Genomic DNA, 14399 nt, shown 5'->3' with positions numbered 1-14399 from the left:
GAACTGGAGTTAAATGGATCCAATACGGGTACACCCACACCCATTTCCTCCACTGGTACGCTGTGGCCAGGAGGCGCGGGCCAGCCTCAGAGGCCTTCCTCACTGGGATTTCTGGCTTTCTGCAGGTTCAGCTGTCCACACGGTGGCATGGCTTTCTCAGCTCCACTCTGATCATTTCCACCAGAAAGATCTGCTGACTAGTCTCCCTAAAAGTCAGGGCTGTTGGTCAACATACACAGGTTAGTGAAAACCAGGGCGAAAGTTAATTTACCCCTGAGTTTCAAAAGAGTAAAAATGGACATGTTGATTTCCTGTCCAGGCTAGGGGTCAGGACAGGTCAAGGGAACCCACCTTTTGGGCTAGATTTTTGCTGCCACCTGTTGTGGGCACGCAGATGACATGGATGATGAATCCTAGATTTGTTTTGTGATCAAGAATTAGAACTAAAAACAACCTGACATGGGAGGTTCATCCCCCACCAAGGCGGGTGCTGTCTCTGCTCTAGCAATGGGATGGAAATGCGGCTGAGACAGAGGTCAGCACAAAGCAATCCCGCTTTCTGGCCACTGCTTGACTGTGGTGGAGGTGTCTGATCACAAGAAGGGACAAATGTTCCTCCAAGGGCAGATGCTTTGCCTGCAGCAATGACTTGGATGCCAAAACATTAGGATTTAATAGGGACAGGCTTGGCCAAGCATTCAGTTGTTTAGTCTACATCAGGCTAAACCTCTGGGTGATTAGAAACATCTTTGGAGTTTGAGGGGCCATGTGATCTGTCTGTTATAGATTCAGCCCGGGTCAAGACCAGTGAAAGACACATGGTTAGAGGAGGATGTCTTCTGAGAAGGGAAGGAGAGGAGGAGGTAACATGTGTTCAAGGCCATATTTATTTCCTGGGGCTGCTGTACCCAGTACCCCAAATGAGGTGGCATAAAGCAACAGAAATGTGTTCTGTCACCGTTCCAGAGTCCAGAAGTCTGAAGTCAAGGCATCGGCAGGGCCATGCTCCCTCTGAAATCTATGGGGTAGAATCCTTCCTCGCCTCTTCCTAGTTTCTCGTGGTTTGCCTGCAAATGTTGGCATTCTGTGGCTGGTAGATGCATCCCTCCCATTTCTGCCTCTGGTGTGGCATGGTGCCCTCTCCTGCATGTCTGTGTCTCCACATGACCGTGTCCCCGCTGCGTGTCACTCTCTCCTCTTCTCATGAGGACACCGATCACACTGGATAAAGAGTCAACCCTTCTTCTATAGGACCTCATCTTCATCTAACTAATCACAGCTGCAATGACCTTATTTCCAGGTAAGTTCGCCTCCATGGGTACTGGAAGCTAGGACTTCATATCTTTCTGGGGGACACAATTCAACCAAATACCTTGCTCCCCCTTTTCTCAGAACCTAAATAGCCATGATGTTTCTTGATGGCCCTGGCCCCTATGCCCAGCGATGTGTGTGGGCACCATACTCGGAGGTAACGACAAGGCTCCTTGAAGGGCTGTTCTCTTGGGTATCAGCTCTTCTGGGCTGGGCAGCCCATGCCAATCTAGGAATTTCCCACTCTGGGGTTGGACAAGGGGTGTGGGGAGACAGAGAACCATTTAGGTGGCTGGGAGAAGCCTTCTGCTATGTGGCTCTGTTCTCAGCACTGAGTAGTTGGTGTCTACAGCCAGACCCTTGGAAAGAGGAAGGCTGGTAGTTTTTACAAGAACAGAGTCCCTGAATAAGAGAAGCTCTTCTGCTGGGGCTTCTGAGATTTGGGGGCTCTGAGCCCAGAGCTTGCAGGGGAGGACCCAGATTTGATAGGAATTCTGTCCCCTGGTATTTAGTGACCCTCAAATCATGGAGTCCCTTTAGGAACATGCCAGAGGGGTGACAGCCAGTGTTCAGGGCTTAGAGGACTTAGGTTCTCAGAGGCCTTAGTGGAGGGATTCCTGGGTTGGCTCTAGCACACCCACCCATGGCTGGACAGGAAGGTGAACAGGACATGTTTGGGTGGATGGGCCTTGTCAATGGGTGCCACCCAGTGGAAGTCCCCTCAGGCCCCAGTCAGCCAAACAAATGGAGGAATCCATCCCAGGAACAGTGAGGCCTGACCAACAAAGGGGAGGAAGGCCTGTGTTTCCACGGAGGATGGGTAACTGAACACAGCCCCTCCTGCCCTGTCTACGCCGGGTCTGAAGAGCGCGCCAACCCCCCACTCCTTGGAAATGAAACACAAACCAGCTCCCACAGGCTGCTGCAAACTCTGCTCTCCTACTTTTTGGGGTCCAGTTCATGAGGCCTGAGGACATGCCGGCTTTTCCTTCTGGCCAGCTGGACACTCCATGCCCCCAGCCCCCATTTGTAGGAGTAGGAGAAGAGAGACAGCTAGACAGTGTTTAGAAAGAAAATGGTAACTGTGGGGTTGATGTACTCGGGGAAGGAAAATGACCCATTTGGGCAGCCTGGAGCTTTCTGTGCTGGACTGGGGGTGGCTGGGACAGGTCAGCAGCAGTGGTTTTCTTAGAGGGATTGGGAAACCCATTTTTCTCCTGTGAATCTACGCCCAGTGGCAAATCTTGGGCTCATTTCTGCCTTTAAAGCTGTTAACTTATTGCAAATATCTTGAGCAAGGAGAGCCAAGGGATTCTCTAAGTGTATTCTTCTTCCTGAAAAACAGGCCCAGGGATATCTGGATAGAGAAACACCTGATCAACAAGTTCGTTATAAATAAGGATGATGATAGGTGCAATGAAAAGCTACATTGAAGGACCTAGACAAATATTTTTAAAATTGAATCACTTATTTTTTTTTAAAGCCCTGCATAGAAATTCCCAAGGTATCAAAAACAAATGAGAGAAGCCTTATTCATTACATTAGCCAAGAATGGGTGTGGACGTGAACATTCTGGAAGGGTGACGCTGATGACTTGAGAATGTCTAAGGCACACTTTGTGTTCTTTGCAACATCCCATGAGCAAGTACGCAGGGGACTGTGTCCTCGGGATTCAGGGGAGCTCTTCCTTTCCCTGGCATGGCCCTGGGTGCCTGGTGACCGATATGCAGCACCCCTGGGCAGAACTCCGTCTGGATTCAGTGCACGCCCTGCTTGGGCCAGCACAGCTCTCGTGCAAAAGCACCTTTGCAGCTTCTGATCGCATCGTCGAGCTCTAGGCACTTGTTCAGGCCTGGCACTGCAGATCTCCAGCCGATGAAGCCCTGGGTGGTCTGTGGGACTGGGGGGGATGGAAAGACCTGGAATGGAAATACAGGGGATTTAGTGACCTTCGGCCACAGAGACACGAGGCACCCAGCATCGGCATGTGAGGCAGGGGTGGAAAAGACAGAAAGAAAAGCCAGCCTCCCTGATGTGTACTGAAAACAAGCACATTCCAATCAGCTGGACTCAGAGGCTCTCATCTTTCCGGGAAGTGAGGAACATCAAACATGTTTCTTTATCGTGTAATGCCTAACATATTTAATTCATGACTTCCAGCAAAATAATTTTTATTTGGTAAGAAAGCAAAAAGAAAAAAAGATGCAGAAATATCAAGTGCTACAGTTTTCACTGCCTTTTATAAAATATATGGCACTGTTGTCAGATGGCATTGCGGCAGGTGCACGTCACCCTGTTTCGATGAGAAGCCTCTACGAAATGCATCTGTATATACACACACACTCCAAACCGTGGAGATCACAGGAATGAAAAGCAACTGAATTTAATTTTAAAAACCAAAAGGAAAATGGGCTTCTATCTGGAATGAAAAAACACAACTTCATTTGTCAACTCCTTGGACAGATTTGACATTTTTGGAAAATGAGGGTAAATGTTTAGGCAGGTTTTCCCCTTCTTTTGAAATAATCTGTTCTGCATAAGGGGATTTGAACAAAGGCAACAGTGCGGGACATTTGTTCTAGCAGAAGAACTGAGATAAAGAGGTTTAATATGCTTGGGGTTATGAGTTCACTTTTACTAATGGAACCTGCCGGTGAGGCGGTGGCAGGAGGGGATGGTCCCGAGTGGGCTGGCTGCTGCTGGTGGACGAAACCCCTTAGCATATGTTCTTGATGAACTCCTAAAATTAGTCTCCTGCAAGGCTACATGTAGGGCGGGTCATCAACAAATGACAGAGGGGCCAAAGCTTCCTTGAACCAGCTACAAGTAAAATTGTTCAGAAGGGAAGCAGCTCTCAAAGCTGTTTGTCCAGCCAGGCCTTTGGGAGCACACAGACTAACTTCCAAGTCTTTATCTAACTTGTAAAAGAAATGCAGTTGAAATCCACTGTGAGACATCATGTTTCACCCAGCAGAGGGGCAAAAAGATGAAAACACCACCACTAACAAGGGCATTATAGGAGCAAGGGCGATATGGCAATTATCTTTTTTTTTTTTTCCTTTTTTTAGACGGAGTCTTGCTCTGTCATCCAGGCTAGGGTGCAATGGCGCAATCTCAGTTCACTGAAACGTCTGCCTCCTGGGTTCAAGTGATTCTCTTGCCTCAGCTCCTGAGTGGCTGGGATTACAGGTAAGTGCCATCATGCCCAGCTAATTTTTGTATTTTTAGTAGAGACAGGGTTTCACCATGTTGGTCAGGCTGGTCTCGAACTCCTGACCTCAGTTGATCCACCTGCCTTGGCTTCCCAAAGTGTTGGGATTATAGGCATGAGCCATCATGCCCAGCCTGGCAATTATCTTTTGAAAGTGCAGATGCAAAAAAAAAAAAAAAAAAAAAGAAGAAAGTGCAGATGCAAACACTCTTTGACCTAACAATCTACTCTGAGGCATTCATTCTAAAATATCCTGATAGCTACACAGGTACACACCCATGATGGTGCAAGGGATGCCTTGCGGAGCTGTTTGTAATAGCAAACAATTGGACATAAGCTGCATATCCACCCACGGAGGCTCATTCACTATGGCCCATCCATGCAATGTGTGGTGTGCCATGCAATGGTTTAGAAGGATGAGACAAACTTCTAAGAGAAAAGAGGTGCACAAAACTATTCAAAGTATGGTACAAGCTGTGTAATAAGAAAATGAGGCCAGAGGCCCATGGATGTCCTTGTCTATGCAAGAGTGCGTGACAAATGGGTGACAGTGGCTCCAGGGGTCCAGAGGGAGGGAGGCATCTCATCAGATGCCCTTTTAGGTATCAAGGTTACCTATTAAAAATAAATATATTTTTAAAGGCTTTGGTCACCAATGAGAGGATAGGAAGGTGGAAGAAAGGTGGAAGAAGGAAACCAGCTACCATTTTTTTTTTTTTGAGACGGAGTCTTACTCTGTCGCCCAGGCTGGAGTGCAGTGGCACGATCTCGGCTCACTGCAAGCTGCACCTCCCGGGTTCACGTCGTTCTCCTGCCTCAGCCTCCTGAGTAGCTGGGACTACAGGCACCCACCGCCATGCCTGGCTAATTTTTTGTAGTTTTAGTAGAGATGGGGTTTCACCGTGTTAGCCAGGATGGTCTCAATCTCCTGACCTCGTGATCCGCCTGTCTCGGCCTCCCAAAGTGCTGGGATCACAGGCTTGAGCCACTGGCCCGGCCACCATTACCATTTCTTGGGCAAGAAAGGAAGTTTGGAGGGAAGCAGAGGCTGGGGACCTTTCTCGCCTGAATCAAGGTTCTTGTCCTTACCCCTGCCACCCCACAGGCTCTGTCTGGTGAGTGTGGCTTTAAGAGCTGGCCCTTGCTCCTAGACAGGAGTCTCTCACAGGAGATAACCATGTTTTGGTATGTTCTGGTGCCTGGATGGTTCCTCCCTGTTTCCCATCCTCCAGGAGGGGCACCTCTCTGGTATCTAGGTGGGGGCGCTTTCTTTGGAAAGAGAATAACTGTGGTTGTGCAGAGCAGGCCCAGGGGCCCTGGTGGCAGAGGGAAAGTCCAGTCTCATGGGCCGGCAAGGGATCTGTGGGGACAGCATGTGGCTGAGGGACATTATAGACACTAAGCAGATCCCATGCCACCGTATTCTTGGGATGGAGGCAGGTGGAGGCAGGGAGTTGGCAGAATTAAAGCCCAGCTCTGGAAAAATGTCCCACCTACATCCCAGTCTCTCTTCCTCTATTCTCCGGCCAGCCCAGTGTTCTAGGCCACAGGAGAGCGAGCTCCCTAAATGTGTGCATTTCATCTGAACAATCACCTTTGTAGGCACTAATATCAAGAAAATTACGGACTCAGAGCAAATTTCTGTGTCTACAAGGTGTTCCTTGCACGATTATTCTCCCAAATCTCATGCCGGATACAACCTCAATGGCCAGGAATAGGGGGATGGTTAAATAAATTATGACAGATCCACACAGTGGAGAAAAACACAGCCATTAATATAATAGCTATTTAGAGTGCTTTTTTAAACTGCATGGAAAGATGTCCAGGGTATGTTGTTAGGTGGAAAAATGAGATTACAAAGCAGCCTGTGTAGTTTGATTTGTAAACATATACCTAAAAAGTATGTGTGTATGTGCACAAGTGTGTATATACGTATACATGAACATACATTTGAGGAATATTTGAGGGTAACATTTAAAAGCAGGGCTCTGGAATCAGACACACTTGCTGTGTGGCCAGAGAAAGGAATTCAGCTTTTTTAAGCTTCAGCTTTCCCATCTGCAAAATGGGTTTGAGGATGATAATATCCGGGGCTGCAGTGGAAGTAAGATGAGACACCCAATGTAAAGCAGTCACCACGGTGAGCGGCTAAGAGATAATAATAGCTTGAGCTGGTGGGGTGGTTACTCTTACAGGTCAAGGGATGTGTAGGAAAACCTCTGGAAGGAGCACCCCCAAAATGTTAATCATGGGTAAGAGCCTATATGTGGGTTTTAATTATATTATATTTTGGTGTATTTCTAAATATTTTTTAGCAGTGACTCTATATTGCTTTATATTTGGGGTAAAAACTGTCAACATAACTCAGTGGAGCTCATTCATTCATTCATTCATTGGGGCTCACAGATGCATACCCCCCAAATGCTCACTATGTGCCAGCTACCCCATCAGACCACGAGCATGCCAGGCAAAAGGCTGCAGCTGAACTCCTCCTGCCCTGCGGCCTTCATCTTGGGTTTTCATCTGCTCTCCCCATCAGCACGCAGAACCACCTTCTCCATAGCTGGGCAGAGGGCAGAACTCCCAGCCAAAATGACAGACCCATGAGACATATGGAGCTCAACTGTTTCTAGAGGGATCTGAGCCATGTCCGCCGTGGTGCAGGCTTCAGGTGAGAGCATCGTCTAAGGCCTCTTTTCTCTGGGTTTGGCCTGGTCACTCCTGTCCCTCTCCCCACAATCTTTTCTCCACTAGCAATGAGAGCCATCTTTCCAATAGGCAGGTCTTGCCTTTCCATGGCCCTGCTTACAACCCTCCAGCGGCTTCTCTAAATTGGACTCCAATTGCAACTCCTTCTTCTAGCCTGCCCACTTTTCCACTCACATCCCTTCTCCACCCACACCTTCTCCTCCTGCCCCCACCCTCCACCCAAGCTCCTGTCGCATCGCCTTGCCTTGCTGTTCCTGAAACATAGCAGCCTGTGTTCTATCTCAGGGCTTTCATACATGCTGTTCCCTGCGCCTAGAATACTTTTCCTAGGGCTGGTGCCTGGTCATCCTTCAGTCCTCAGCTCAAAGGGCCCCTTCCCTGACCACCCCGCCCTCTCTTATCCTGTGACACACCACCGGCCTGTTTCCTCCATGGTGCTAGCATAGCGTATCCAAATGGTGTTGATTTTCTTGGTTAATGTTGGTTCTCTAGACCCAGACATGTGGGCTGGGGTCTTGCCTTCTTGTTCATTACTGTTTTCCCAACCAAGCTGTTGCACCTTAGTAATAGCTGACTGTCATCGGCACTCTCTAAACATGCTGGGCAGCCTGCTGAACCCTGAGGGTACTCCCTGAAGTAGGTGCTTCATTAACCCCCATTGTATAAGACAGGCAGGGGAGACACAGAGAGGTCAAGCCACTTGCCCAAGACCACACAGAAGGTGAGCAGCCTATCAGCACAGGGATCTGGTGGTCTGATTCCAGAGTCCCTGCCTGGGTCTGCCCTGCCTTCCTGCCCACACCCTGGAAATGTTTGCTGAAAGAACGCATGAAGACCCCATTTTCCTGCCTTCTCTCTGCTTCTGCAGAGCAGGAGGTCATGGTGCTTGCACTTGTAGACTTTAGCCTGGCATGTTTCCCATGGCTGGGTTTGGGAAGGACGTGGACCTGGACTCTGCACCTGGCACTGCTGTGCTCTTACCTTCAGTGCTGGCTTTGCACATCTGGAGCCATCAGTTTCCACTGGGGCTTATTTCTTACTTAGGAAAATGAGTATTTTAAAAAAATGAGTATTTAAAAACGTTTCAAACCTTGATGTACTTCTCCACTGGGGTCACCGGCCGGATGCGGAAACGCTCAGGAAGCTCGATTTTGGGCTTTGGGGTGGGGAGATCTTCTTCACACTTGATCAACTGAAACAGAATCCCCAGAGATGGGAAGTCTTACGTGAAGCTGGGGGAAATGTACTGAAACAGAATCCCCAGAGACGGGAAGCCTCAGGTGAAGCTGGGGGAGTGTCCTCCCCATTGCTTCCCCTAGAAGGCGCATTTTATAGACACAGAAGTGGGGCATGGAAATGGGAGGCAGAGGCTTGTCTTAGTTACACCGTTAGGAAAGTAGGGTGGGGACCTCAACGCAGGCCTGCTGCACCCAAAGCTGAGACCCATCTCCATCCCCTCCTGCTGCTCACCACAGCCTCCTGATTTACATCCCCTGTGGGGGAATTTGAGAAAACGTTACCAGTTACGGACTCAAGTTTTAAAATGCCAAAAAGGGTTGAGTGTGGTGGCTCATGCCTGTAATCCCAACACTTTGGGAGGCCGAGGTGGGAGGATTGCTTGAGCTCAGGAGTTCAAGACCAGCCTGGGCAACTTAGCAAGACTCCATCTCTTCAAAAAATACAAAAATTAGCTGGGCATGATGGCATGTGCCTGTGGTCCCAGCTACTTGGGAGCCAAGGTGACAGGATGGCTTCAGCCTGGAGGTGGATGCTGCAGTGAGCTGAGATCATGCCACTGCACTCCAGCCTGGGTGACAGATCCAGACCCTGTCTCAAACAACAACAAACAAACTAACAAAAAATGCCAAAAAGTTTTCAGGACCGAACTTTAAAATATTAGAGGAGAGCGTCCACTCCCCTTTTTAATTTTTCAAGCAATATCAAGCTTTTTGAAAACCCAATTTAATTACATATAAAGAATATTAATATAGACTCCTTATGCATATTATATTAATAAGAACTCATTCTATGCATAAAATTTCAAACTGTGGAACCCTCTAAGAATTAAAAACACCCTCATTAAGAACAGCATAATTTCAAAGCTCGTAGGATGGGATGAATTACAAATGGGCTTTACACTGCTGTGAATCATAGATACTTTGACTGATGTGGTGTTTTAATTAATTCTGCATCTCTTGTGTTCTGTCCTGAAGTTTGAGAGGTTGCAGATTGGTGGCCACCACCCCACCAGAACCCACATAAGCATTTCATTTCTAGACTCAGAAAATTTCATGTAAACATCTGGCTTTCTGGACTCTCTTGAGTGATGGGAATATGCAGTTGGCTTTCCCATATGGTTTCACTTGGCTGGGCTCATGCTGGCTGCCTCTTTGGACAGGACCAGTGGCCTCTTTGCCTGAGTCTCCACCCCTTCTGATTAATTATGCTTGGCCCTGTCTCCTGTTTCTGTCACCTAGCTGGTCCCTGTAGACTTCTGGACTTGTCATCTTTAGGGAATACCGACAGCATTTTCCCAAGAATCCCTCATATGTCACTTGGCCTCCAGGCCAGGTGAGGTGTCCATAGCCTTCTTGTATCTGCACCTCACAGTCGCTCAGTTAGGCAGGTGAGGACTCTCATCCCACTTTACAGATGGGAAGTCTGAGGTCAGGTGGCTGTGGCATCAGACCCACCTGCTTCTCACCTGAGTAGGGTCCTTATCAGTTGTGTGACTTTGCAGGTCTTGGAGCTCAATTTCCTAATTTGTAAATGGGCATAAAACAACACCTGTCTCTGCACCGGGGTTCTTGTCCAGATTTGATCATCTGGTTCTGCCGAAGCACCTAGAACATGCCTGGCATGTGGTCAGTGCCCAGGAATCTGTGAAAGGCGGGAACCTTCTGGTTTAGGAGTTAGTGATCTTTGCCTACAACATGCTCTTTAGTTTTATTCTTGCAAGTGATAGACTTTGTAATCATTCATTCTTTGAAATGATTGATTCTGTAACCTTGGGGCTCATACAATTTATATTTACCTCCTCAAAAGGGGTTGTTAAAAACCCCCAGTTCTGGGGCCAGTTCTGCCGTGCTTCCGATTCAGCCTTCAGACGGTATTTCCTGAAAAAGAAAGTTCCTGAGTGCTGGGCAACACGGAAAAAGGTTCAAGGGGTCTGTGGGGGACATTTCCATTCTCCACGAACATTGACTGGGCAGTGGTTCTGCACCAGGGACGGAGTGAGGAGCCAGACAGCGTGAGAACCTCTGATGCTGAGCACCTCCCACCAGCAAGGGAGACACGTGGCTAACGAAAGAGAGATGCTGGTTGGCTGTTACGGCTGAGAGGGAATGCCGGGTAAGGGCCAGTCTGGGGGCCGATTCTGCCTGAGGAGCCTTCTAGGTACCAGATCTCTTATTTTGGAGGCCCTTATGACTCAAAATTTGAGGAGGTGCAAAAGTGGAGGAGGCACTCACTCCCTGCTTCCTGCAAGTGCAGAGACAGCGTCTGCATGACCTTGACGTGGAGCATTTCCTAAATATTGCAGCGCAAGTGCCTCACTTGCCCCACCCTAATCCGACCTTGCTTTTGCTCCATGCTAATATTGTTTATATCTAACTACCCATGAGCTGAGTGGCATTGCAGTAGACGAGCCCACGTGCCACATTTTGCAAACATCAAATTAAACATTCAATCGTTTTGAGTTTTCTAGTTTCTTCTATCTTGGAATCAATATCAGCATATCCCTACCCCACAGTTTCGGAGACCCTGGTCAACTCTTTGCCCTGGGCAGTGAGCATCTAAGGCAGAGTCTATTTCAATCAAGATGTAACATAAGCCACAAACATGAGCTGCATACACAATTTGAAATGTTCTAGTAACTACATTAAAAAGAACATAAGAATAAACAGGTGACAGTCTTTTTTTTTTTTTTTTTTTTTTTGATGGAGTTTCGCCTTTTTTTTGCCTAGGATGGAGTGCGATGGCACAATCTAGGTTCACTGCAACCTCCGCCTCCTGGGTTCAAGCAATTCTCCTGCCTCAGCCTCCTGAGTAGCTGGGATTACAGGTGTGTGCCACCATGCCTGGATAATTTTGTATTTTTAGTAGAGATGGGGTTTCACCATGTTGGCCAGGCTGGTCTTCAACTCCTGGCCTCGGCCTCCCAAAGTGCTGGGATTACAGGTGTGAGCCACTGCATCCGGCTGACAGTCACTTAAATAATCTTTTTTTTTTTTAAATAAATCATCGTAATTTGTCACGCAGTTTACACTTAACGGCTGAACCCAATTTGGACCAGTTACAATTTAAGTGTTAGGTAGCCAAGGGCCCTATTCAAAGAGGAGGGGTCACTTAGATTTGGGTCTTGAAGGATGAGCAGAAGTTTGTATGGTGAAGAAGAGAGGAAGGGGCATTTCAGACAGAGGGAACAGATCCTGCTGTGGCAGCATCTCCTATTGGGACACTTGGATAAAGATTTAGTAAAAAATAGTTGTGTATTTTATGCCAAATGATAAAGGTTTTCTATTTATGAGAGTGATATGAAGTTTTCCATAAAATCATCAAGTGAAAACAATTTAAAGACACATATGAAGTGACTAATAGAGGTTTTACAAGGAAATGGTAAAAATTATAGAGAGGGTAAATAGGATAACTGAAGTTTAGAAGGTAAACAAGTATGTTTTATTGTTACTACAACTTACTTATATCTAAATCTGTAAATTCCCATATGAGTTAAACTTTCAAAGAGATGCAATAATACGTAGCAGATAGCATGCCAATTAAAATATCCACGACAAATGTCTGCTAGACATACATCTTTTAGAAAATGGATGTATCTTTAAAGTTAAAATATATTACTTAAAAACCCAGGAGAATCAAGGGATTTTCATGTACTTCATTCAAATTTAACAAATATTAGGATTTTTGCTTTCTTTTTTTAAAAAAAAATTTGGCCAGGCGCGGTGACTCACGCATGCAATCCTAACACTTTGGGAGGCCGAGGCGGGTGGATCACGACGTCAGGAATTCAAGACCTGCCTGGCCAAGATGGTGAAAGCCCGTCTCTACTAAAAATACAAAAACATTAGCCGGGTGTGGTGGTGGGCGCCTGTAATCCCAGCTACTCGGGAAGCTGAGGCAGAGAATTGCTTGAACCCAGGAGGCAGAGGTTGCAGTGAGCCGAGATCGCGCCACTGCACTCCAGCCTGGAGGATAGAGCAGGACTCCATCTCAAAAAACAAACAAACAAACAAACAAAAATCATCAGTCTTAAAAACATGAACACGTTCTGGTTGGATGCTGAGATTTGAAGAAAAAAAAAAAACATGAACATGTTAGTTGGATTTCAACAAGCCAATCTCTGCTGATTGTTGAAAGCCAATCTCCCACGTCTTCGTGGTGGGCCCAACAGGAGAGGGAGAAGGAGACGGAGAAAGGCCCTCCTGTCGCTCTCATGTCCCTAACATTGACCCCTTTCCTCAAGGCCCCTGACCATCCTCAGCGCACGCCCCTCTGCCCCTCGAGTTTAGTGGTCGATCACTTCCCGGACTTGGTGGGGAAACTGAGACCCCAGATGTGGACACTTCAGGTGAGAACAGGAGCCCACCGCGTTGCCCGATCCCAGGCGTTACCAGATCTCATCCTGACCCACAAGGTTCATGCGTTCAGCCGCCGCGGTGCTGAGAGGTTTCTGCGCCATGAGGCCTGGGGGCTCTGTGCGCCCCGCAAGCTCTGGCCCTGGGCTCAGCGTCTCGCGTCTCCTGGGAGACCGGTTGCCAGGCAACGCAGGACTCGGAGGCGGAAATGGCTCTGCACCTGGCGAGGGTGGGGTCGCTGTGCTTTCGCCGCGTCGCTTGGGTCCGGGCTTGCTGCCATCCTTTGCTCACGTCTGGGCCCTTTGTCCACCTCTAGGCCCATTTGCTCATCTGTGGAAAACCTTGGGGAAACCTCCAGACCTAACACCCTAGACTTCTTTGAAAGTTTAAATCCGCAGTGGAAGTATGCACACCTACGAGTGGACAGACGCTCAAGTGTACAGAGCTTAATTGAGTATGTCAAAGAGAGGACTCGCCTGTAACCGTCACCTGGAGATTAGAAAACAAAGCATTGCCAGCCTCCCCCAGTGGCCCCCAGGGTCACCGTCCTCCCTGGCTCTCATTGACTTCCCTCTGCAAAGATTAGCTTTGCTGTGATTTGAACTTTGTGTGAGTGGAACCATCCAGATGTTCTCCTTTGTGCCTGGCTGCCTTTGCCCAGTGTCATGATTGAGAGAGCATCCCCGTTGCTGTGAGTGGCCCTAGCGTCCATTTCTGCTCCTGAACAGTATTTGCTGATGGGCGTTGCATTGAGTTTTTGGCCACCACAAAAGTGCTGCTAAAATATTACTGCACATGTCTTTGGAGAAAATATGCGTTTTGGTTGGCGTCCACTCTTTGTAACAATCCCTAAATGAAATTCACGGATAATGTTACCTCCAGACCCCACCACCCCACACTCTTTTTCCCTGCCTATAGGCAGTAATCACTCTATCGCTGGGGTGCTCAGCCAGTGTTTTTTGACTGATTCATTGACCCCCTAGGTTTCTACCATACCCCCATTGTTGTGGACCCAGAGCTGGAAAATGGCTCTGAGACAACAGCAAGGGGATCATCTACACGATGTAGGAGGACATTTTTCTGGCTGAGCAGCCATGAGATGAGCAGGTGTCCAGAGCCTGCCTCGGGGGACTGAGAGAGGAGGAAGCATGACTCAGTTGAGCTACAGGTCACCTCCTAGATAATTACCAGGGCACTGGTCTGGGAGGATGCCAGTGTGTGTATCCACCAGTTAGGTATCTGAGACTCTCCCTAGTCCATCTCCATGGCCTCTTCCCTTATCAACAGATTTGTACTTATGTGTGGTGTTTAGAGGGGAGCTCAGCTAGTGTGTTTTCCCTTCATAGCACATGGTGCTTTTCTTGGCTGTTGGAAATGCCTGGCCCACGCCCAGTATTAGGGTGGTCCCAACTGTCCCTCAGCTGGATTAGTGAGTGGGCAAGCAGAGGCTGGCATCGGAGCTGAATTGATTAATTAATGAATATATAACATCCCAGGTCCACGGCTGAGCCAACTGCAAGCTAGTGGGCTAGCAAGAGGGTGGACAGATCTCTAGGCAGGAAGCTGGGATTTTCTTC

At 48.0% G+C, this 14399-nt stretch overlaps 1 protein-coding gene and 1 long non-coding RNA gene across 2 annotated transcripts in view; one reads left to right on the top strand and one right to left on the bottom strand.

Annotated features, from left to right (window-relative positions):
- Positions 1 to 2740: 2740 nt before the first annotated feature.
- CIMIP1 (ciliary microtubule inner protein 1) lies at positions 2741 to 12989 on the bottom strand. The gene is made up of 4 exons (NM_178456.3): positions 12859 to 12989; positions 10266 to 10347; positions 8322 to 8423; positions 2741 to 3230 (listed from the first exon to the last, which is right to left on the bottom strand). The coding sequence occupies exons 1-4, from the start codon at positions 12924 to 12926 to the stop codon at positions 3069 to 3071; spliced, it is 414 nt and encodes a 137-aa protein (NP_848551.1). The 5' UTR covers positions 12927 to 12989; the 3' UTR covers positions 2741 to 3068.
- LOC107985434 (uncharacterized) overlaps positions 4460 to 14399 on the top strand; it is a 29833-nt gene continuing 19893 nt past the window's right edge. The window contains exons 1-2 of the long non-coding RNA XR_001754692.2: positions 4460 to 4500; positions 7062 to 7193. This is a non-coding gene — a long non-coding RNA (uncharacterized LOC107985434). The remainder of the gene's footprint in view (positions 4501 to 7061; positions 7194 to 14399) is intronic.

Source organism: Homo sapiens, chromosome 20 (genome assembly GCF_000001405.40).
Source record: "Homo sapiens chromosome 20, GRCh38.p14 Primary Assembly".
NCBI lineage: Eukaryota > Metazoa > Chordata > Mammalia > Primates > Hominidae > Homo > Homo sapiens.
This window is presented reverse-complemented; position numbering and strand designations above follow the sequence as displayed.

What these genes read in the sequence shown, in the direction of transcription:
- CIMIP1 (NM_178456.3), bottom strand. Translation starts at nt 12,926, where the DNA reads ATGGCGCAGAAACCTCTCAGCACCGCGGCGGCTGAACGCATGAACCTT. An exon ending in GTGGGTCAGGATGAGATCTG is followed by an intron (nt 10,348 to 12,858) that starts GTAACGCCTGGG and finishes TTTCTTTTTCAG; the next exon opens with GAAATACCGTCTGAAGGCTG. An exon ending in TAACAACCCCTTTTGAGGAG is followed by an intron (nt 8,424 to 10,265) that starts GTAAATATAAAT and finishes ATTCTGTTTCAG; the next exon opens with TTGATCAAGTGTGAAGAAGA.